The following is a 24,873-nucleotide window of genomic DNA, read 5'->3' as shown; positions in this document are numbered from 1 at the left end:
TCATTATGATTAAATAAGGTACTGCATGAATAAAGAGCCTACAAATTTCCTGGCATAAAGTAAGCACCCATTAAATGTTGGGTGTTTTCATTAAAGCTTGAAATTTCACTGAGGAAGGCACTGAGACCCTCAAAGTAAATGATAGCTAGACGTCCCACAGCCAGTTGGCAAAGCTAGAACTAAACAGTCACGTTTCTGTCCAATCTATGAAAAAGCTTATTCTACTACATCAGGCTGCCTGCTTATGTCTTTATATATACTACCTAATACGTGTGTGTGTGTATGCTTTCTAATATATACTTATATATGTAAGTGTATCCATAATATATGCTTTCCAATATGTATTCTATATATACATACTAGAAAACAACGAAGATGAGTGTGGTTCACTCTCTCTGGCAAAGACTTGAAAAATGCATGATTCTGAGATGCCTGCTGAAAATGTGAAAACCTTGAACCATGCCAAATGAAGCAGTTAATATAACTGCCCTAACCTCAAGTTTAGCACACTGATCCAGTTGGAAATTTTGCTCTGGAGCATTTACAAAAGCACAGATCCGGGGAAACGGGAATCAAATGCAGTAATTCTGCAAGTGTATTCAGGATGAATGTAATATTGAGTGTCACCGGGCACCTCACTACCCCCCGCCTCCACCCCCGCCGTCTCACCTCCCTCCCTTAGATCCTGCCACTCCCCTCTGCTGGTGCTGGAAGCACTGGGCGAGTGGCTCTCAGAGCTAGAGCGGGCGGGGCGGACACGCTTAGCGTAAGCGCAGGGGCCAGGAGCCCGGAGGGAGGTGGAGGCGGGGCAAGGCAAGGCAGCAGGCGCTGGGTAGAGCTCAGCTGGAACACAGTTTCCCTCCTGGACCGGTCGAGTCAGACCTCACGTGTAGACTAAGAGGATCAAAAGAAGAGTACGTTACCTGCGGCGCCGGTTGTGCGCAGACCAGATGTGCCGGGAGCTGCAGGTGAGTCACTTGCTCTTCCCTCCCACCCCCACCTCCTCACCCCGAGTCCAACAGGTTGGCTGGAGCGCAGCTTCCAGGGGCCCCGTGGGTACACTTCTAGTCTCACCTGGGCGCTGGCCTCGGCTTCTCCCTTTACCGAGGGAGGCCGTCGTTACTATTTAAATTCCTGCCCCAGCCCACGCTTGTTCTATTCCTTGTCTTTTTGCCTTTCCTTCTAAAATGAGAGCTCCGCTGTGCTCAGAACACCTGCTCTCCGGGAAACTTGTAGGGACAGAAATGGTTAAAAGGAAGGGTGCCTCAAAAAAGTGCCTCAACACGAGGTGGACCCTCGACAGGGTGGGAGCTGACAGTGACACTCCTAGTTCTTAGTGACCCACTGGGTCTTCAATAAAAAGTCATCATTAATTATTCTTGTTTCTCAACCAGGAGGTCAGAACCTAAGGGAGACGGCGGAAGAAAATGGAGCGTCAGTGATCATCAGACTAGAATGAGAGTGAATTGGGAGAAAATGGTGCGGCCCCCTCACCCAGAGAACCCTCCCCCACCTGCTCACACCCCCAGCGAACACCCCGGGGGAGGCCTATGAAGCAGCAGTAAAAGAAAAGGGAGGAATATAAATTCTCAAGTTGGAAGGGACCCGGTTACCACTTCCTTTGCTTTCTGAACTTTTTGTTTTGGTCTCCTGCGGGCAGGAGTGAGTCTCGCCATCCCCCTTGCTTGCTTGCTTGCTTGCGTTCAGCTAAGAGTCATCTTCTCTCCTCTTCCTCCTCCTCCGCCCCACATCTCCCTCCTTCCTCCCTTCCCCAACCCCTCCACCCACCAAGTAGCGAGTCATTCAATCTGTACACCTCCTGGGCTGGGAATCGCAATTGCGAAGTTGGGAGGCGGGGTGACAACGTTTGGGAAGGGCCAGGGCGACCGGCAGTGTGCACAGGGACTGTGTCGGGCTTGGACCTCACCTGATCCTCTCTCTTAGCGCGACCCTTCCTCTGCTCCCTGTCTCCTCTTTCTGCCACTTGTGCGCTGCTTCCGCGCACTCCCGGCTCCCTAGCGGCAGGAGGAGGAAGGCGCACAGCGGGTGGAGAGGGTGCGCCAAGGAGAGGTAACCCCTTCGGGAGCCCGGGGAATCCCGGCCGCCACCAGGGGCCGTGCCACCGCCCTCGCGGGACCAAAGCTTCCGGCGTGTCCCCAACTTTGTGGCGCCCTCAGGCCGCGGCGACTGGGTTAGAGATGCCTTCCAGCGGCAGAGCGCTGCTGGACTCGCCGCTGGACAGCGGCTCCCTGACCTCCCTGGACTCTAGTGTCTTCTGCAGCGAGGGTGAAGGGGAGCCCTTGGCGCTCGGGGACTGCTTCACGGTCAACGTGGGCGGCAGCCGCTTCGTGCTCTCGCAGCAGGCGCTGTCCTGCTTCCCGCACACGCGCCTTGGCAAGCTGGCCGTGGTGGTGGCTTCCTACCGCCGCCCCGGGGCCCTGGCCGCCGTGCCCAGCCCTCTGGAGCTTTGCGACGATGCCAACCCCGTGGACAACGAGTACTTCTTCGACCGCAGCTCGCAGGCGTTCCGATATGTCCTGCACTACTACCGCACCGGCCGCCTGCATGTCATGGAGCAGCTGTGCGCGCTCTCCTTCCTGCAGGAGATCCAGTACTGGGGCATCGATGAGCTCAGCATCGATTCCTGCTGCAGGGACAGGTACCCCGGAGGCACGCGGCGGCTGGGCGGGGAGGCGGGCGCGGCAGAGAAAGAGAGGAAGGCACAGGTAGATTTGAGGCTTTACACAAGCTTCGCTGGAGCCAGGCCTAGCAATAAGGTGTGGCCACTTCTGGGCTGACAGGTGGGGTGGGGGTGGGGGACTGGAAAGCATCAACGCCAACTTTTGAATAGAACTTTTTGAATCTCTTTGTTCCCTTTTTTGAGTATGCTAATTTAACGTATAAGGCAAGGGACTTCAGGCCCACAATAAATATTTGGTGACTGAATAAATGAATCAGAAACGCCATGCTCCAAAAATGCATGCATAGGGATAAAAGATTTGGCACGCAGCATTATCATTTATCAAACCTAGAACACTGACTTTGAAAAACTTGAATGGAGAATTGTTTTAAATATAGAAGATAAAAGGTTGGTCCCTTGATTGAATGATTGTGGAACTCTGAGGTTACCTTGCTATTACTACCATTTCTTCATGAATACATTTCCTTTACACACACACAAAAAAGTTCCACCTGCCAAACATCTGTTCTTACCAGAAAATGGGTAATAAAATGTATTAATCCAAAGTAGCTTTACTATGTATACACTTCTACTAAGAAAGTGTCATTTTAAAAATTATAATCCAGGCCGGTCGTGGTGGCTCACGCCTGTAATCCCAGCACTTTGGGAGGCCGAGGCGGGTGGATCACTTGAGGCCAAGAGTTCGAGACCCCCCCTGGACAACATGGTGAAACCCTGTCTCTACTAAAAATACAAAAATTACCCGGGGGTGCTGGTGGTGCGTACCTGTAATCCCAGCTACTCAGGAGGCTGGGGCAGAAGAATCGCTTGAACCTGGGAAGCGGAGGCTACAGTAAGCCGAGATCACTCCGCTGCACTCCAGCCTGGGCGACAGAGCAAGACTCCGTCTCAAAAAAAAAAAAAAAAGGAAAAATAATCATAATTCTAAGGGAGAAATTCTGAATACTGTGGGTAAGACACAACCTAAGTAAAATATGAATAGACATTTTTCTGCATTTTGTTGAATGAAAAAGTCTGACCTCCCTGCCATGTTTAATTATCTTATACTTCTGTATTTTAATAAAGTTAGACTAATCACCAAATTGTTTTCTCTAAAAGATACTTCAGAAGGAAAGAGCTGAGTGAAACTTTAGACTTCAAGAAGGACACAGAAGACCAGGAAAGTCAACATGAGAGTGAACAGGACTTCTCCCAAGGACCTTGTCCCACTGTTCGCCAGAAGCTCTGGAATATCCTGGAGAAACCTGGATCTTCCACAGCTGCCCGTATCTTTGGCGTCATCTCCATTATCTTCGTGGTGGTGTCCATCATTAACATGGCCCTGATGTCAGCTGAGTTAAGCTGGCTGGACCTGCAGCTGCTGGAAATCCTGGAGTATGTGTGCATTAGCTGGTTCACCGGGGAGTTTGTCCTCCGCTTCCTGTGTGTGCGGGACAGGTGTCGCTTCCTAAGAAAGGTGCCAAACATCATAGACCTCCTTGCCATCTTGCCCTTCTACATCACTCTTCTGGTAGAGAGCCTAAGTGGGAGCCAGACCACGCAGGAGCTGGAGAACGTGGGGCGCATTGTCCAGGTGTTGAGGCTGCTCAGGGCTCTGCGCATGCTAAAGCTGGGCAGACATTCCACAGGTATTCACATTTCACTGATGCCTTTTAATTTGCCATTGCATGTAAGCATTCGTTTTTTGACCACAGTACAAGGAAAGTAACGCTGAACTGATATTCAAAATTACCAACTCCCATACTTTACCTGATCATGACCTCTAAGGAGATATTGGGAGGCAAAACATTGAAGTTGCTATCACAGGTATAGAGAAATGAGCTCTCACATACCTCCTCTCCATAAGAGAAATGTTGAGAGACAATTTGACCATTTGCTAACCTCAGTTTATTTGAAACCATTACCCAGAAGATATACAAAAATTAAACGCACTCTGCCTATTCAAGGTTCTGGACAAAACAGGCATAAATGACACATAAAAAGATACACATAAATTATATATGATATATAGGGACATAAGCCAATTTCTCTTCAGTATCCGAGAAGTGCTTGCCACATATGCTCCTTGGCAGAAGAGAAAGTCAGCCCTTCAGAGCCTTCTCTGGCCATGCAGAAAGAGAAATGACTAGGTGCAGGTGGCCTTTCCAAAATTTTCAAAGAAGCAATGAAAATATTTTGCTTTGGGAGAAAGCAAAATAAACTAATTAAATGCTTTATCTAGTATCTGAAGGTTTTCTTGTCCCTAACCTGGGATGTATGAGAGAGGGGAATACAGAAATCCCTTAGTTTTTTGTGTATCACAGAGCCTTTGAAAATCTAATTAATATTTTCCTAGAAAAGTCTCCATATAACACACACACAAACACATAAGATACGTGAAAATTATAATCAATATCAGTGAAAATCACAGGAACTGATTAAAAATGATTCTTGCATCCCCAACAGTAGTAGTTATCAGTGGCTGGCCTTGCAGCTGTCAGATATTGTGGAGTATATGAGTTTCCTTATGACATACCTTAATGAAAATAAGGATCCCCAGGCAAGCTTGTTGAAATACAGCTTCTGGCTCCAACCCCCAGAAAGCTTGAGATCGGGTCTAGGAGCACACATTTTATAAATAATAAGTTCACCAATGACTTTGATGTAGGTGGTTCTTGGACCAAACCTAGAGAAACACTGGAGTATGATGCCATATTAATTTTATATATGTTGATACAAATACATATTAGCACAAACAAATTGGCTAGATATCACTATCCTTATTTTATTTCCCTAGATATGTGCCCTGACTGACCACCTAAAAAAGGTTGATGGTAGTTGTCCTTCCTATAAATGTCAGGTGAAATTACTTCTGATATGTTTTTCTTCAACATTTCTCTGACAATTAGAACTTATTATAATATAATTTTGGTAGTGTATTTTCCTAGCTAGTCTCACATACCAGGAATTTGATAATGGGGTTTCCAATAACTTTTACAAGTACCACTCTTTGTTTTCTGACACAGATAATGGGATGCTTTCTTCAAGTATTTATAAACTCTTCACAAGACTCAATTTAAAAACACCCAGTAAAAACTACATTTTTTTCCAAAAGAAAGGAAAAGGAAAATAACAGTGATTTCCACAATGTCTCCTCTTCAAAGATTTTCACCATTCTAAAACAAGTATAAAGTTTTAGTAAACCCTTAATTATTAAAAAATATGTGACTTGCATATTTGACAATTTTGCCTCAACACTACATTTATTAAAATGTACACATAGATGACCTATTTCCCCATGTATTAATTATAAATTCAAATTGAGAGATGTTATAGGATAATGGGTTTTTGGCCAGAAACTAGGTTTAAATCCTGGCTCTGTAGCTTTCTACTAGATAAGCTATCTCTTTATGCCTCAGCCTCCTCGTCTGTATAATGGCATAACAATTACCATGTCCCTCTTATATCCTTTCTTTTGAAGATTCTCTGAGTTAATAGAGATAACATGCTAGAAATTCCACCCACTTTGTTTTCCTTTACAAAATTGTTTTGAACATTTTGCCTTTAAACTAAAACAGTGTTCCCAGACAAATGCTATGCATCTCCTCATATGCTGTGAATTTATTTAAGGAACATAATTCCATGTAGACACATCAAGGCCAGTTTTTTATAAAAGTAAAGGTATTATAAAGGTATTCTGAAAGATACTCTTTTGAAGTTAAACTTCAAAATACTCAATGATCTTTAAAAATAGCTGGTTAATAATTCAAGAATATCTCAAAATTTGAAGAGCAAAATTCAAAATCCTAAGAGTATGATTAGTATGCTAATGCCTTTGAAATAGTCTCTAGTGAGTGAATAAAAACAAAAAATGATTCTAAGAGGTATTGTTTTGGACTTCTGGGGCAATATCATTTTGACATCATGTTGATATAATTTCAAAATGTGGACAAACTTTAATAACCACCTCTCTAGTATTAGGGAATAAATCTTATGGTTCATTCAAAGCCTGGTTCCATAATGGGCTTTTCTTTCTTTCTTTTTTTTTTTTTTTCTTTTTTTGAGAGGGAGTCTCATTCTATTGCCCAGGCTGGATTGCAATGGCGTGATCTTGGCTCACTGCAACCTTCGCCTCCCAGGTTCAAGTTATTCTCCTGCCTCAGCCTCCCGAGTAACTAGGATTACAGGCACGCACCACCACGCTGGGCTGATTTTGCTATTTTTAGTAGGGATAGGGTTTCACCATGTTGGCCAGGTTGGTCTCAAACTTCTGACCTCATGATCTGCCTGCCTCAGCCTCCCAAAGTGCTGAGATTATAGGCGTGAGCCACCGTGCCCGGCCCATAATGGGCTCTTACTCCCCTTAGGCCTAGTGTCTTCAGAGACGGAATTGGACTATCGTGGTTCTGTCTCCCTGGGGTTTAATAAATCCTCAGATCTAGGAATGGAAAAGCAGCCAATGCTTCATAAAGAGTAAATTCTCTAGTGGTTCCATTTCCCATACCTTTTTGCAATGGAGGAATATTCTGTATTCAGGTCTATGTTATTATAGGAAAGCAGAAATTTTATGTACTCAAGGGAGATAATTTCTTACAGCTTTGGTATTAAGGAGTAGGGTTTCAGTGGGTGTCTTGGGAGTTCAGACCTCCTCCTGACATACTGCTGAGAATGTCCCCTGAATATACATGTGATGTTCTCATGTCAATTTTATCACCAATGCCTAACTTGCTTCTGCTGCTTCACTTTGTTGCTATGGTGCCCATTGTTTACTTTTTCTGGCTTTCCTGTAATCAGGTTCCTGATTGTCTTAAACTTTACAAGGAAGGTGAGAAAAACAGACACATAAAATACAAGACAACATAAAACTGGCATTTGAAACAAGTGCTAAAATGATGCATTGAAATGCAGGTGTGACCAAATATGCCCTCCACATGCAACACCGCAAAGGCCTCTTATTGTACAGACTAAAGTACAAAACTCCTATCATACCACCCCTGCCTGCCTTCAGTCTTACCTCTCGCCTTCTTTTTAATAGTAGAAGTTCAATAATTCTATAGGTGAATTAATGAATCTAATTATATTTCTCTCTAGCCTTCTCAACCTGGCCCCATCAACTAGACTGTGAACTTCCTGGCACAAGGATTATGATTTAATCAACTTTGTATCCCCAGAACATTGCCCAGTGCTGGGGACATTTAAGTGTGCAGTGCAGTTTGTGGGTGGCAGAGCAAGGAGGGAGAGGGGAGGGGAGGGAAGGAAGAGAGAGAAGAGGGATGCCAATGACTGACAGCATTTGTTCTGTTGCAGGATTACGCTCCCTTGGGATGACAATCACCCAGTGTTACGAAGAAGTCGGCCTACTGCTCCTATTTCTATCCGTGGGAATCTCTATATTTTCAACTGTAGAATACTTTGCTGAGCAAAGCATTCCTGACACAACCTTCACAAGTGTCCCTTGTGCATGGTGGTGGGCCACCACCTCTATGACTACTGTGGGATATGGGGACATTAGACCAGACACCACCACAGGCAAAATCGTGGCCTTCATGTGTATATTATCGGGAATTCTTGTCTTGGCCTTGCCTATTGCTATTATTAACGATCGCTTCTCTGCTTGCTACTTCACCTTGAAACTCAAGGAAGCAGCTGTTAGACAGCGTGAAGCCCTAAAGAAGCTTACCAAGAATATAGCCACTGACTCATATATCAGTGTTAACTTGAGAGATGTCTATGCCCGGAGTATCATGGAGATGCTGCGACTGAAAGGCAGAGAAAGAGCAAGTACTAGGAGCAGCGGGGGAGATGATTTCTGGTTTTGAATTAATTTTCAATTTATTTACAAAAGCTATGTACAATTAACTAAAATGATAAAGCAGTGATGTGGATTTCTGTATTCTGATGATGAGTCTCTTCAGAGTACTGCTCATCTTAATTAATTTTTGCTGATATATTGCTTCATCTACTAGAATATTTCACATCACCTATAACAACTGCACAGTGTTCTGACACATTTGAGTGTCCAAAATAGCCAATTAACACAACCAAATACAACTGGGCCAATATAAACATGTTTGAATTGTCAAATATAAAATAATGTTATTGCAATACATACAAAAAAGTTAAAGATTTTATGTATCACTAACATTAGAAGTTTTTTGCACCACTAATTTTTTAAAAATGGAAGGTAAACTGCATAGCCCAGAGAAAGATAAGTAAATATTTAAGAACATATTGAACAACTTTGCTATTTAAAGATATTATCCAAGTACATAAATTACTCCGTTCTCTATCAGTTAAAGCTATTGAATATAATACTTAGCTTTACAAGAGAAAACCCATATTTGATGGGCAGAGATTATATCCCTATCTTCTTTTTCATGTAAACCACTGGTCACAAATGAACTGATCTCTGTATCCCATTATTACTATAAGAGGTGGGAATCCCAAAACTGCTTAGATTGCAGTACATGAGTCTACACAAAGACTTCAACAATTGCACATCTTCATTCTCCCAACTGAGTGTAGTATGTGGAGCATAAAACAGCATATTTCTTAGTATTTCATGAATATCAGATGGTCTTTAAATGTCTCTTTATGGATGTATTGTTCACATTATGGCTTTAAAATAATGAATATGTAAAAGTGAGGTAGTGAACATCCTAAATTTCTACACTGGAATTACTAAATAATCTTATTTCATAAAATGGGAAATATATGTTAAATGACATCACTGGATGAACTTGAAGATCTTTTACTTGTTAACAAAAAAATACTATGGACAGCTTTCTGATTGTTGGGGTAAATAGCAAATGTTCAAACTTTGCAGGCATTTTGACATTCATCATAACAACACAATTCCTAGACATTGTATTATATAATTAAAGCCAAAACCTCTAAAGCTAAGAACTAGCTCATGATTCCCATTATTTTAGTAAATGAGATTCTACAACCTAAGAATAACAAGGAATGCATCACTTTAATACCTACATTTCCAATATAATAGAGCCCCCAAGGGGAAGAAAATTGGTTCTTGAGGAAAAAAAAATCTTATCACTTCATTTACAAAACACAGATAAGCATATTGAGTATATCTGTGGTATTAACATTTCATGGGGGTGAGATGTTAGGGAAAAAAGCCTAGAAGGCTCTTTGCCAGGGGTGAATGGTGATAAGAAATAAACATTGAGGACTGCTTTAATATATAGCTATAAGGTATTTCATAAACTCTATTTAAGACATCATATTATGCTATGCACTACCAAGAAAGAAAGATGCCAGTCAATTGTAAGATGCCATTAACTGTAAAATGCATCCGGATTTCAGATATGTAAAAATTTAAAATAAGCACCTTAAAATCAATGAAATATCGCATGTACTACCTCCTGTTTTCTGGTATGCATGGTTAAGCTCTGAAAACATTTTCACTGATGGCATGAGTTTTAGATTGTGTGCTAAAGTACTTTAATTCATTTAACTTGTTTCCACTTCTCCTAAATATTATAAAAGGTTCAGGAGATATGAATATTAGTAAGATAAATATTTTACTTCTTACACACATACATGGGTGCTAGATTGTGGCACAGGGCCACTAGTCATAGTATAAATCCCTTCCACAATCTGAAGGGAAAGTAGAAGTTAGACACAGAAGGTAAACTTACTCCAGCTTTTCTAGAACTTTCCCTAATAAGAATAGTTACTCTGATCCAGGACTATGCTCTGTATTCATCATGTATTATGCCATTTTATCCTCAAAATATCCCTATTATATAATTACTATTCTTATACTCTTCAAAATACATATTTTATATATTTATTAACTCAACAAATATTTATTAAGGATCTTTGGTGTTCTGGGGACTAGGGAGTCTTTCTTAAACAAGACTAGGTCCTGTTTTCTTGTAGTTAATATTCTGTTCAAAGGTGTGTGAGGAAAAGACAGCGAAACTGAAACATTAAAAGGTATAAACTTGCCTAAATTCACACAGGCTATAGATGGCAGAGCCAGCGCTGAATACCAATCTGCCTGACCCGGAAAACGACACTCCTAAAAGTCAAATTGCAGATTTCATTCTTCCTACACAAGCTCTGCATAGAAATTTATTTTTTAGGCAGGCAAGCCAACTTCTTGTGCATGGAGAAGTTCAATATGCCTTAAGTAAAATATCAGCTTATTCTCAGAGGTGGAATGGTGCTTTTAAGAAAAGGCTGTGGTGACACCTTATAGTCATTATTAGATTAAAAATATATTATCTTTAGAGTAAATAGTAGTTGGAAATAAAAAAAATTAAAAACTATGTGTATACATATGTATATATGTTTTTATCATGGAGGATCCTAAACATCTTCTCTACAAATGTGCTGTTAGCTATATAAATGTTGTCAAGATGTAGGTCTTCAGAAAGAAGTTTTAAAATATCATTGCTTACTCAATTTTGCTGTTAAATAAAATATCATTTTATTTATTCAATGAATGTATATATAAGCAAACCAAATTTCATTTAGGTAAAAAAATCAAGGCAGGAACTCTGCCAATTTTATAACCCATTATTTTAAAACAGTAAACACTTTTTAAACATCTAAGAATTATTGTTATAAAACAATATTTAATTTTTTAAAATATAAAATAATTGAATTATTGTCTTTCTCTAAGCTATTTAGAGAACACTACTTTCTTTGTTTTGTTTTGGTTTGGTTTTTTGAGACGGAGTGTCCGTCTGTCGCCCAGGCTGGAGTGCCAGTGGCGCGATCTCGGCTCACTGCAAGCTCCACCTCTTGGGTTCACACCATTCTCCTGCGTCAACCTCGCGAGTAGCTGGGACTAGAGGCGCCCGCCACCACGCCTGGCTAATTTTTTGTATTTTTAGCAGAGACGGGGTTTCACCGTGTTAGCCACTTTCTTTGTTAATTTAACTGTTATTTTAAGTTCAGGGATACATGTGCGGGTTTGTTATACAGGTAATCTTGTGTCATGAGAGTTTTTTTGCACGGATTATTTCATCACCCAGGTATTAAACCTAGCACCAGTTATTTTTCCTGATTCTCTCCCTCCTCCTACCCAGCACCCTCTGATAGGCCCCAATGTGTGTTGTTTCCCTCTATGTGTTCATGTGCTCTCATCATTTAGCTCCCACTTATAAGTGAGAACATGTGGTATTTGGTTTTCTCTTCCTGCATTAGTTTGCTAAGGATAATAGCCTCCAGCTCCATCCATGTCCCTGCAAATGACATGATCTCATTCTTTCATATGGCTGGATAGTACTTCATGGTGTATACATACATTTTCTTTATCCAGTCTACAGTTGATGGGCATTTAGGTTTATTCCATGTCTTTGCTACTGTGAATAATGCTGCATTGAACATACGTGTGCATGTATCTTTATAATAAAACAATTTATATTTCTTGGGTATATACCCATTAATGGGATTGCTGGATCCAGTGGTATTTCTGTTTTTAGGTCTTTGAGGAATTGCCACACTCTCACATGGCTGAACTAATTTACACTCCCAGTATCAGTGTATATGCGTTCCAATTGCTCCATAACTTCGCCAGCATCTGCTTTTTTTTTTTTGCTTTTTAATAATAGCCATTCTGACTAGTGTGAGATGGTATCTCATTATGGTTTTGATTTGCGTTTCTCTAATGATCAGTGATATTGAGGCTTTTTTTCATATCATTGTTGGCTGCATGTATGTTTTCTTTTGAAAAGTGTCTGTTCATATCCTTTGCCCACTTTTTAATGGGATTTTTTTTTCTTGTAAATTTGTTTAAGTTTCTTATAGATGCTGGAATATTAGACTTTTGTAGATGTATAGTTTGCAAATATTTTCCCCCAATCTGTAGGTTGTCTGTTCACTCTGTTGATAGGTTCCTTTGCTCTGACAAAGCTCTAGAGTTTAATTAGATCCCATTTGCCAATTTTTGCTTTCGTTGCAACCACCTTTTGTGTCTTCATCATGAAATCTTTGCCTGTTAGAAAACACTACTTTCAGACATTTAAATGCATATAGGCAATGCTTAAGTACCTAAAAAAGCAATTTTAAGAAATTACTGAGGTATCTCTATTAAGAGTGACATATTCATATTTTATTTTATGTATATATTATTTCTATAACATACAAGAAATTGTTGCATTTATCATTTTAATGCAAAGTAGTATCAAGTATAATGGATTAGATGCAAAAATAACTGAGGTAGGAATCTCAGTTCTGTGTTTTAATGTGGAATTCTTATGCTTATTAAAATATTTTGATTAGCTGTTGCAGAAAATATATATGCTGACCCAATTTATCTAAGCAAAACATTGTCATTGGATAAGCTTAATACTTTGAGAAATATTTTTATTGATACATTATGTTAACAAGAAAAGTCTCTTCTTTTGAAATATTAGCCATTAATAACTGTCTTATGAATCCTTCAGTTCAGATCCAACAAGATATTGGATAGCAGGCAAATGATGTGTTCTGATGATCTCCTTCATGATTTTTCTTTGCAAAGCATCACCACCCCAGAACTCTCTCCAAGCCATACTAATATAAGGAAGACAAATGTCACACAGGGAGAGCTTTACTCATCAACGGCAGTTGCCTACCTGGTACGTTTTTAGGGACGACAGGGAAACCTGGATACTCACCATCCTTATGTTCTCACTGTGCTTATATTACATTATATTATATTATATTATATTATATTATATTATATTATATTATAATCACTCCCTTGCTTGCCTTTTCAACTCTAGTGCCCCTCTCTTCCTTCCTGGTATTAAATTGGCAATACCCTGACCCTAATTAAATTCAATCCACTGCCTTCTTGTGCCTGCCCTTGTAGAGCAGATCATGCCCTACAAAGAAAAACACAATGCCTGCAGACTGCTCTCACTTTACATTCATGCCTACAACCCCAAATGGGTTCTTAAAGCTTCCAGGCAATCTCATACGGCAATTCCTGAGTCCATTCACTATCCGGAGACAAGTAAAAACCTCTAACACCTCCCTTGGATTCCGCTTTTACTCAGAAAATAGAATCAGAAGAGATTTTTTAAAAAAGAGTCATCACCCACATTTATCCACCTACCTCCATCTGTGCCTATTAACTCTGCCTTTCCTCACTTTACGAGGGTTGGATCGTCCATCCACACTTTATCTCCGACTCCAGGACGCTGCTACAGAGAGCTTTTCCCCTCTTCTTACTGTATTATCAAATTTTCCGCTTCCTACTTCCTGTCAGCACGCAAACATGATTTTTTTCCCATCTTAAAATTAAAAAAAAAAAAAAAACAAGCCGTCAAAATTCCTTGAATCTATTTCATCCTCTAGAATAGAAAACATCGAATTCTCTTCTCTTTTTTATGGCAAAACTCTTTGACAGCAGTATCCATACTCACTCTCTCCCTTTGTATATTCACTGTTTATCTTCTCATTCTTTCTGGAAAATTCACATAAGTCTACCACCCCTACAACTCCTGTAAAACTTTTCCTTAAGGTCAGCAGTGAGTCCATCATTGCCAAATCCAATCATTTCTTAGAACTCATATTGCCAGATTCATCAACAGCATTTTGCAAGATTAATTACAGATTCTTCCTTAAAACAATTCCTTTACTTGACTTCCAGCCCTTCATGCCTTCCTAATTTAATCCCCACTTCACTGTTCAGTCATCTTTTCTAATTGAGGTCATAAATCAGAGCTTAATCATCAGTCCTCTTCTATGCTTCATTTATTCTGCTCCCTTGACAAAAATCATCTGATTTCATGGCTTATGTATCATTGATTCTCGGTCAATTCCCAAATTCCTACATCCAGATTAGAACTTTCCTCTCACTTACTGTATTTCTAGATTTGTGAACTAACTGCCTATTCAAAAGATGTCTAATAAACATCTCGCAATTTGCACATCCAATATCAAATTATTTATCTTTTCCCCAAACTCTAAGTTCAAGTCCTCTGAGAGGCAGATGCCAATACAGGTGATTTTTACAATATTGATTATGTGCAAGATATTTACTTGTGGAAAAATGGTTATGAATAATAAAGAGAAGGAAACTATTGAAGGTGGGAAGAATCTTCAGACCATGATGCAGGTCTGACAGCTATGAAGAAGAGGGAGAAGGAGGACAATTGGCGGGGGGGGGGGGGGGGTGGGAAAAGCACTGATTACATCCCATTCCTAAGAAACTTCAGCCAGTTTGATGGAGAACACTTGAGAAAAAGTAGCCCACTAAGGAGTCCTACTTTTTTTTAGAAATGGGACTATTGGCACATCTTGGAGATATTACAGGTTAATTTCCAGACCACCCACAATAAGGAGATTATCACAACAAAGTGAGTCACACAAATTGTTTTGATTTTCCACTGCATATATAATTGTGTTTACACTATATTATAGCATATTAAGTGTGCAATAGCATTAGGTCTAAAAAACAATGTATTAACAATTTAAAAATATTTTATTGCTAAGAAATGCTAATAATCATCTGAACCTCAGCAAGTTGAAATCTTTTTACTGATAGAAGGTCTTGCTTTAATATTGATGGCTGCTGACTGATTAGGGTGGTGGTTACTGAAGCTTGGGGTGGCTGTGGCTATTTCTTTAAATAAGACAACAATGAAGTATGTACATCGATAATTGACATTTTCTTTCACAAAGAATTCTCCATAGCATGAAATACTGTGCAATAGCATTTTACCCACAGTAGATCTTCTTTCAAAATTGGAGTCAATCCTCTCAAACCCTGCTGCTGCTTTATCCTATATCTTTGTAATATTCTGAATCATTTGTTGTCATCTCAACAATATTCACAGCATCTTTGCCAAGAGTAAACTACATCTCAAGAAACAACTTTCTTGCTGCTCATCCATTAGAAGCAAATCCTCATCCATTCAAGCTGTGTCATGAGATTGCAGCAACTCAGTCACATCTTCAGATATCACTTCTAATTTGAATTCTCTAGCTATTTCCACCCCATCTGCAGTTAGTTCCTCCGCTAAAGTCTTGAACCCCTTAAAGTCATCTATTAGGTTTTGAATCAACTTCTTCCAGTCTCCCATCAAAATTGATAGTTTGACCTCCTCCTATTAATCACAAATGTTCTTAGTGGCATCTAAAGTTGTGAATTTTTTCTAGAAGGTTTTCAAATTACTTTGCTCAGACCCATTAGAGGAATCACTATAACAGCTATACTCTTATAAAATGTATTTCTAAAGTAATAAGACTTGAAAGTTAAAATTACTCCTTGATCCATGGGATATAGAATCAGTGTTGTGTTAGCAGGAATAAAAACAACATTAAACTCCTTGTACATATCCGGCAGAGTTCTTGAGTGACTAGATGCATTGTTAATGAGAAATAATATTTTGAAAGGATTTTTTTTTTCCTGAGCAGTGGGTCTCAACAGTGGGCTTAAAATATTCAGTAAGCCATGCTACAAGCCGACATGTTGTCATCCAGGCTTTTTTGTTTCACTTATAAAGCATGGCAAGAATAAATACAGCATAATTCTTAAGGGCCCTACAATTTTTCATATGGTAAATATGTACTGGCTTCAACTGAAGATCATCAGCTACATACATAAAAAGATAGCCTGTTTTTTGAAGCTTTGAAGGCAGGCATTAATTTATCCTCTTTAGCTATGAAAGTCCTAGATAGCATCTTTTTCCAATGCATGCCTATTTCATATATATTGAAAACCTATTGTTTAGTGTAGCTACTTCCATCAATTTTCTTTGCTAGACCTTCTAGATAATTACTGCAGCTTCTATATCAGCACTTGATGCTTCACCTTGAACTTTTATATTAAAGGTTTTAAAGTTTCTGGAGACAGTTTTTTTCCTTAAACCTCATCAGCCAAACTCTGTTAGCTTCAAATTCTTCTTCTGCAGATTCCTCACCTTTCTCAGCCTTCATAGAATTGAAAAGAGGGAGAGCCTTGCACTGGATTAGGCTCTGGCTTAAGGGAATGTTGTGGCTGGTTTGATCTACCTAGACCACTAAAACTTTCTCCATATCATCAATAGGCTGTTTAACTTTCTTATCATGTGTGTGTTCACAGGGATATAATTTTTAATTTCCTTCAATAGTTTTTTTCTTCATGTTCACAACCGGCTAACTTTTTGGCACACAAGGCCTAGCTATTGGCCCATCACAGCTTTTAACATGCCTTCTTCATTAAGCTTAATCATCTCTAGCTTTTGACTTAAAGTGAGAGATGAACAGTTAGAGAGGTCCTTTTAGGGTTATTAATTGGCTAATTTTAATATTGTCATTTCCTCAGGCCTAAGGAGAGGAAGAACGGCTGGTCGGTGGAGCAGTCAGAATGCGCACATTTATTAAGTTTGCCATCTTATATGGATGAGGTCTGTGGAGCCTCAAAACAATTACAATAATAACATCAAAGGTCACTTACCAGAGATCACTGTATTAGATATAATAATAATTTAAAAAATTGAAATATCGTGAGAGTTACCAAAATTGGACACAGAGACCTGATGTGATCACATGCTGTTGACATACATGCGAAGCTCAATAAAGCAAAGTGCGATAAAATAAGGTATGCCTCTACATTAATACTCCAAAAGGTCTACAGCTCAGGCTGTCAGTCAATTATACTTCATTCAGCAGGAGATATGAAAAGTACCTTTTTATTGCCACCACAGGTAATCCATAGAGCTAATGCAGGTTCAGAAGTAGCCCCACCATGAATCCCATGGCCTCTTCTGAGAGGAAGCTTAGTAAAAGAGCTTGCGAAATAAACTAGAGCCCTCATTGTTGCAGTTAGTCTCTGGACAGCAGCTTGTGGTCATTTGCTCCTTCTTCCACTGTCCACAGTACTCCATCAAAGCACATAATTGCTTCCACTATACCCCAGCATCGTAAAAAAGTTATAAAGAAAATTTTAGCCTGCCTATATTAACCTCAGAGAATAATTTTACATGCTAGAACACACTTTTTGTTGTGTACTAAAGCACAGCATAGTTTTCCTGCACAAGATTGTCATTGTCATGCTATTTACCTTTATTATTGAACAAAGAAATGGCATGAGTAAAAGTATTTCAGGGGGAGATTTTACAACCATCTAAATCTCATTTTTTTTCTTTTCTAAACTGGTAACATCTCACCCAGAGAAATATTGTTTCAATGGACACTAGTAATAATCCAATGACTGAAAAATAATTTCATGTTTACAAATTAACTTCTGGAAGGCCATTGAGATAAATAAATATATTCACTTTCAATAGCATGATGCAACTTAATTAATTAACGTATGGATTTCCTTCTCAAGTTAATTGGCAGTTCTTTCAATTATATGAAACCTTGCTTTACCTTCTTTAGAAAACTATGGTCTAAGAGGTTTGGTAAATAAAAAAGTTAATTTTAATGCACATACTTTCTACATTATTCTGTTGCCCAATACCCAAATTGTTTCCAAAGAAGTAGTAATTGAACTAAAGAAGATTTGAGAAGTCAGGAATGTGCATGTAAACATACGCAGCACAAGAGAAATGAAAAGTTTTGGTAACAAATGGAATTTTAAAATTATAGTAGGGAAAATGTCCCTTGACATATCTCAATAGTCATCTCAAACTTCACACTGGATATTTAGATAGAATTTCAGTCATCTACTTAAGTAAGAAAATCAAGTCTTTCTTAACAAGTAATTTAAGTTTCTCTAAACCAGAACTATTTTTCTGAAACCCTGTCTTTATACATGTCTCTGCTGTACAGAAAATGTTTTAGCTTAAGTGGTCTATAATTATTGTCAACTAATTCTAAATGGTACATGTGAAAATAAAAGACAGTTACAGTTGCCATGGAAACTATACTTCATAGGAAATTTATTTCAATGAGTCTTGCTTCTAAAATTAAAAAAAAAATTTACAAACAATAATACAACTCTGACCACAAGCTGTCAGGAAAAGAAAAAAAATGAATGAAAAATGTAAAAATAAAATAATTCTTCCACTGTCAGCTGAACTTATAGTTTCTTTCCTCATACAAGCTTTATTATTTATTTAGTTAGTTTTCTTTAAGATTTTAACCAAAGAAAGTAACTACTCCCTGAAAAAAAACCTCTAAGTATAACAGTACAATTTGTTATATAATTTTAATGATAGAATATCTAATTTTGTGATAATAATTTTAATAAATATATTATCAGAATATATTTAACAAATCCTTCTAATTTAGTATGCCTCAACTCTCCCTTTTCAATAAAATATCCTATATTATTTTTTACACAGGCTAATAAAATATGCTAAAGAAATAACCTAAATAAACCAATTTGTTTGATTTCAAAATCTGCAATCCATGGACAAATAGGTCCTATCTCTTCACTAAGCATCTATCTTATTATATTATAAATAAATCTTCAGAGAACTTTCAGCAAGTGTATCTTATAATTCAGTTAGAAAAATCATTTCTCACATATTGCTGACATTTATTTTCCAGAACTGTTCTTCAGAGCACAGAGCAAGACTTTTTCTTTTAATTTTATATGACACCCTTTTAAGAACATTGTACATGTTCAAAGAGAGGGGCTAGTTAATTGGTACAGATATGAATAATACATGATCTAGAAAAAAAAGAATTGTGGCAAAATGTGCCCAATTCATATTAGAACTGGCCAAGACAGTATAACAGTCTTTTTCTATCTTCTTTTAAATTTTGAAGAAAAATTTTGTAGATCAAACAATGAATAATGAAATGAAGCAATCATACATATTGGAGTCACATAAAAGTAATTTTTATAAAACAAACACTGGAGCTGTTTTGATACCTGTACAGTAAAGGTATAATTCTGTGTTATTTTAATAATAAGGAAAAGTTTCTATTAGAAGTAATTACATGGCTCTTACTCCAAGATTTGGAAACAGCTTGAATTATTTTAGCATACACACCATGCTATTTTTAAAACTGCAAATCAAAGGGAATTAATGGGCTATAAAATATATTTGAGTTGTGACTACTGCTTTTAAAAAATGGAGCTGAAATAAAATGGAATGGGTAGAATAGAACAGAATAGCATAGAATGGGATAGGATGGGATGGAATAGGCTGTATAGCATAGCATACAATAGAAGATATTAATTTGCACCTCACAACTTCTAAGCAAAAACTGAAGACATTGCAAAAAGCATTGTAGTAAGTTTGTGAAGGGATTTGGAAAGGGACATGCAGGGGATGTGCTCAAAGCACATATTGGCTAGGAGAGGATAACTTTATCTTATTTATTGATTATATGGTATATGATTTTGACTGTCATTATAACTGGGGTGTTCATATTTCACAGTTCAATTTTATATCAACATATTGCAGTGGGTTCTGAGGTAGGATAAGTAAATTTAACCTGCTATTGGCCAAAAAAAAAAAAAAAAGGATATCTGATACAACAGTCTTTATATTTATGGTAATAGAAATATGTTAATTTAATTGAAACAAATTACCCATAAAATAGATTGCTTTATTATCCTAAACAATTATAATGAGACTTATAATTTCTGATTCAGCATGTAAGGAGCTTGGAAGTCACCACTGTGTCCCAACAACAAATAAAAAGCTGAATATACAGAAAAATCAACTCTCCTTGCATTTGTAAGACAGGCAAGGACATAGGGCTAACTGCTGCTCCCAAAACTGGAGAGACAGGCAAAGACAGGCAGTCACATCCTACTGGAGCAAAGACTCATCACTGGAAACTACTGCAAGAAACAGTCCTGGGGTAGGAAAATCTGAACTGTAATTGATGAATTGCTGAAGACTTAATGTGGACACATCTGAGTGGGGGGAGGGGGGAGGGATAGCATTAGAAGATATACTTAATGTAAATGATGAGTTAATGGGTGCAGCACAACAACATGGCACATGTATACATATGTAACAAACCTGCAAGTTGTGCACATGTACCCTAGAACTTAAAATATAATTAAAGAGAAAAAACAAAACAAATAAACAAACAAAAACTCCAGGGGGACCCTGTCATGGTGGGAAGGGGAACACAGTGCTGTAAGATTTAACTCCAGGAGAGAAATCAAATTCTCACAGTAAATATCAGAGAACAATCCCCTCATGCTTTGGGCAGGGAGAGGAAAAATGAAACCATGTTTAAATACTAATACATCAGAGCGCTCTGTTCTTAACAAGGCCTGCCCTCAAGAGAATTAGTTTACCAGAGCCTGATTTGCTGGGCTATTCTTAGAGCCTAACTTACCGGTGAGAAGGGAAATACCCAACTCTAGTCCACTCTAGTAATCCTGTTCCACCTAAGGGTTGGGATAGGATGGGTGGCAAGCTGAGAAACACTTGTGAAGATAACAGTCAGAGGCATAAGTTTACTAAAAGACTAATACATAATCATAGCACAGTACAATGATTCCCCTCCCCCACATCATAACACCACATTATTAAAGGCCTATTTACTGTAGTTCCTTTTACCCAGTACACGATGTCTGCCTATCAACATAAAACTACAAGGCATACCAAAATACAAAAAAAGAAACAGACAAAAAAAGCAATTTGAAGAGACATAGCAAGCATCAAAACCAAACATGAAAAGGATGTTGGAACTATCAGGCCAGTAATTTAAAACAACTATGATTAACATACTAAGGACTCTAACAGATAAAGTAGATAGCACACAAGAACAGATGGGTGATGTTAGCAGAGAGATGGAAATCTACGGATGAACCAAAAGGAAATGCTAGGGATCAAAAACAACCATAACAGAAAATTTTAAAATGCCATTGATGGACTGATTAGTAGACTGGATATAGCTCAGAAAAGAATCTTTGTACTTCAGGATATATCGATAGAATGTTCAAAAACTGAAAAGCAAAGAGAACAAGGACTGGAAAATGTACTAGTTAATGTAATAAGACAAGAAAATAAGGCACACACAGTAAAGTTCGAACACACAGGGGAAGTTCAAAATGGCTGACTAGAAGCAGCTAGTGTGTGCCACTCTCATGGAGAGGAAACAAACTGGAAAGTAAATACTAACTCTTAAAGTAGATCACTTAAGAAATCATGTTAGGATTGATCAAGGGAGCCAGGGGACATAGACAACAGAGACGAGCGATGTTGGGCAGTCACCCACCTGGGACCAGCATGGAGCCAAGAGAAGCTCCCTAACACAGGAAAGGGGTGAGGGAGTAAGAATCCCCAGATGATTCACATGCCCTACAGGGACCTGTGCAATCCTGGGAATGAGAGAACCAGTTTTAGCCCCCTGGACCTCTAGACAGATACAGAGATCCACATGGAGTTTTTTGCAGAGGCACCACTCAAAATCACAGGAAGCCTCACAGGTCTTGTATCCCTGGGCAGCCCAAAACCAGCTGCCATAGCCCTGATGGAGGCCATAGTCATGGTGCCAGGAAGCAGTCAGACTGCTCCACTTCTTGCCAGACAAGGCTCAGCTCCTGCTTCCAGCAAAGTAGCCCCACCCCTTCATGAACTCCGCCAACAGGCACAGCTCTCTGTTCCCCCAGGAAAGACCTGGAGGTCAGTCTGTGCCACTCCACCCACTCCTGCTGCTGCTAACTAGCTGGGACAGACTCACAGGCTTGGGCTTCCAGCAGAGTGGCCCTACCCCTGCTTGAACGCTGCAGGTGGGCACAGCTCTGTGTTCCCCTGGGAAACACCTAGGCAGCAGATTGTGTGACTGCCCCCCACCTCACCCTGCCACTGCTCCTAGCAGGCAAGACTTGCCCATTTGGGTGGTGCCCATGCAGGGGAGGAGCCTCCATTCTCAGAACACAGAGAGGTGAGATGACCTGGTTTGTGGGCTGGCCAGGGAACAGGGCATGCCTCCTTTCTCTGGAAGGGAATAGCCTGTCTGCCAGCTGTGACCTCTGCCTGAGAAAGTCCCCAGGCCTGGAACACCTAACAAAGGAAACACGGGTATGGCACCAGTGATTGGGGAGGGGCTCCTCTGATGCCCAGTAGTGGATCTGGTGAGGGCATCGTCTCTCTCTTCCCACTATCACAAAGCACTACTATGGATGTGCTGAAATACAAAATTGCTGCCTAAGAACTGCCAGCCATTACTCTTAAGCACCATCTACTGGATTTCAGCCCAAATTACAACACCAAAAATATTTCGCTATTAAGTAAAATAAGTGTTACTTCAATTAAAAAAAATAACATATTTTGGCAGTGTACAAAGCCTGTGAAACCTATCGCAAAAATCCAGCCATATATAAAGGATCCGGTACAGAGATTTAGCAAACTGAAAACACCCACAAACAAAGCTAACTGTTTCTAATTCATCTTACATCATAAAGGAACACCAGCCCTCTCAGATGAGAAAGAATCAGTACAAGAATTCTTACAATTTAAAAAGCCAGAATGTCACTTTATCTCCCAATGAACACAATATCCCCAAGCAATGGTTCTTAACCAGATTGAAATGACTGAAAGGATATACATAGAATTCAGAATCTGGATGGTAAGGAAGCTCATTGAGATGCAGGAGAAAGTTGAAACCCAATCCAAGGAATCCAAGGAGTCAAGTAAAACTATCCAGAAGCTGAAAAACAAAATATCCATTTTAAGAAAGAACTAAAATGAAATTCTGTAATTAAAGAATTCTCTACAAGAATTTTAAAATACAGTCAGAAGCATTAACATCGGAAGGGACCAAGCTGACAAAAGAAACTCAGTGTTCAAAGATGGGTTCATTGAATCAATTCAGTTAGACAAAAACAAAGAAAAAAGAATTTTTAGAAAATAAAATCTTTGAGAAATATGAGATTATGTAAAGAGACCAAATCTACAACTCATTGGCATTCCAGAGAGAGAAGGAGAGAGAGTAGGCACTTTGAAAAACATTTGAGTATACAGTCCATGAAAATTTCACCAATCTCACTAGAGACTGAGAGGTTGACATGCACATTAAAGAAATACAGAGAAGCCCTGCAAGATATGATACAAGATGACCATCTGTGTTGAGATGAAAGTTTATAGTGCTAAACACCTTCATAAAGAAGTTAGAATAATATCAACTTACATGACACCTAGAGGAACTAGAAAACACAAACGAGCAAACCAACCTCAAAGCTAAAAGATGAAAATAAATAACTAAAATTAGAGAAGAACTTAACGAAATTGAGGCCATGAAATAGATCAATGAAACCAAGAGTTGGTTATTTAAAGGAATAAACCAGATTGATAGGCAGTAGCTAGATTAACAAAGAAAAAAGAAGATCCAAATAAATGCAATCAGAAATAACAAAAATGGCATTAAAACTGATCCTACAGAAATATAAAGTTCCTCAGAGACTACTATGAACACCTACATGTGCAAAAATTCAAAAATCTAGATGAAATGGATAAATTTCTTGAAACAAACTCCCAAAACTGAACCAGGAAGAAAGTGAAAATTGGAAAAGACCAATAACAAGCACTGATACTGAATCACTAATAATAATAAAAAAAAAACCTACCAACCAAAAGAAGCCCTGAACCAGATGGACTCACAGCTGAATTCTAGTAGACATACAAAGAAGAACTTGTGCCAATGCTGGTAAAACTGTTCCAGAATATTGAGCAAGAGTGACTCCTATTTAACTAATTAAATAGCTTCTTCATAGCAAAAGAAACTATCAACAGAGCAAACAGACAACCAACAGAATGGGAGAAAGTATTTGCAAACTATGCATCCGACAAAGGTCTAACATCCAGAAACTATAAGGAACTTAAACAAATCAAAAAACAAAAAACAATCCTATTTCAAAATAGACAAAAGGCATGAGTAGACACTTCTCAAAAGAAGATACGCACACGGCCAACAAACATATGAAAAAGTTCTCCGTGTCACTAATCATCAGAGAAATGCAAATCAAAACCACAATGGAATAATATCTCACACCAGTCAGAATAGCTATGATAAAAAAGTCAAACAATAACAGATACTGGTGAGGCTGTGGAGAAAGGAAACATTTATACATTGTTGGTGGGGATGTAAATTATTTCTGTCATTGTGGAAAGAAGTTTAAAGAATTCTCAAAGAACTTAAAACAGAACTACCATTACCTCCAGCAATCCCACTATTTGGTACATATCCAAAGAAAAACTAATTTATTCTACCAAAAAATACATGCACTTGTATGTTCATTTCAGTGCAATTCACAATAATAAAGATGTGGAATCAACCTACATGTCCATCAGTGGTGGACTGGATAAAGAAAATGTGGTTCCATA

The 24,873-nt window shown here is 38.8% G+C and overlaps 1 protein-coding gene across 1 annotated transcript, besides 2 other annotated features; it reads left to right on the top strand.

Annotated features, from left to right (window-relative positions):
• The first annotated feature begins 815 nt into the window (after positions 1–815).
• KCNV1 (potassium voltage-gated channel modifier subfamily V member 1) lies at positions 816–12,951 on the top strand. The gene is made up of 4 exons (NM_014379.4): positions 816–968; positions 1,395–2,659; positions 3,800–4,329; positions 7,988–12,951. The coding sequence occupies exons 2-4, from the start codon at positions 2,199–2,201 to the stop codon at positions 8,497–8,499; spliced, it is 1,503 nt and encodes a 500-aa protein (NP_055194.1). The 5' UTR covers positions 816–968; positions 1,395–2,198; the 3' UTR covers positions 8,500–12,951.
• Positions 1,730–2,327: an enhancer, noted in NCBI's record as "H3K4me1 hESC enhancer chr8:110986489-110987086 (GRCh37/hg19 assembly coordinates)". NCBI's record gives its function as "activates a minimal SCP1, AML or CMV promoter by ChIP-STARR-seq in naive H9 embryonic stem cells {active_cell/tissue: H9 hESC(naive)}" and the evidence as "EXISTENCE:reporter gene assay evidence [ECO:0000049][PMID:30033119]".
• Positions 22,268–22,769: an enhancer, noted in NCBI's record as "H3K4me1 hESC enhancer chr8:110966047-110966548 (GRCh37/hg19 assembly coordinates)". NCBI's record gives its function as "activates a minimal SCP1, AML or CMV promoter by ChIP-STARR-seq in naive H9 embryonic stem cells {active_cell/tissue: H9 hESC(naive)}" and the evidence as "EXISTENCE:reporter gene assay evidence [ECO:0000049][PMID:30033119]".

The sequence above is a fragment of the Homo sapiens genome, chromosome 8 (genome assembly GCF_000001405.40).
Source record: "Homo sapiens chromosome 8, GRCh38.p14 Primary Assembly".
Taxonomy (NCBI): domain Eukaryota; kingdom Metazoa; phylum Chordata; class Mammalia; order Primates; family Hominidae; genus Homo; species Homo sapiens.
The sequence above is the reverse complement of the archived record's forward strand: the minus strand, read 5'-3'. Positions and strand labels throughout refer to the sequence as shown.

Bases quoted from the DNA above. Each gene is read 5' to 3' on its own strand.
- KCNV1 (NM_014379.4), top strand. From the start codon at position 2,199: ATGCCTTCCAGCGGCAGAGCGCTGCTGGACTCGCCGCTGGACAGCGGC. The intron at 2,660-3,799 runs GTACCCCGGAGG...TTTCTCTAAAAG, and splicing joins GATTCCTGCTGCAGGGACAG to ATACTTCAGAAGGAAAGAGC. The intron at 4,330-7,987 runs GTATTCACATTT...GTTCTGTTGCAG, and splicing joins GCTGGGCAGACATTCCACAG to GATTACGCTCCCTTGGGATG.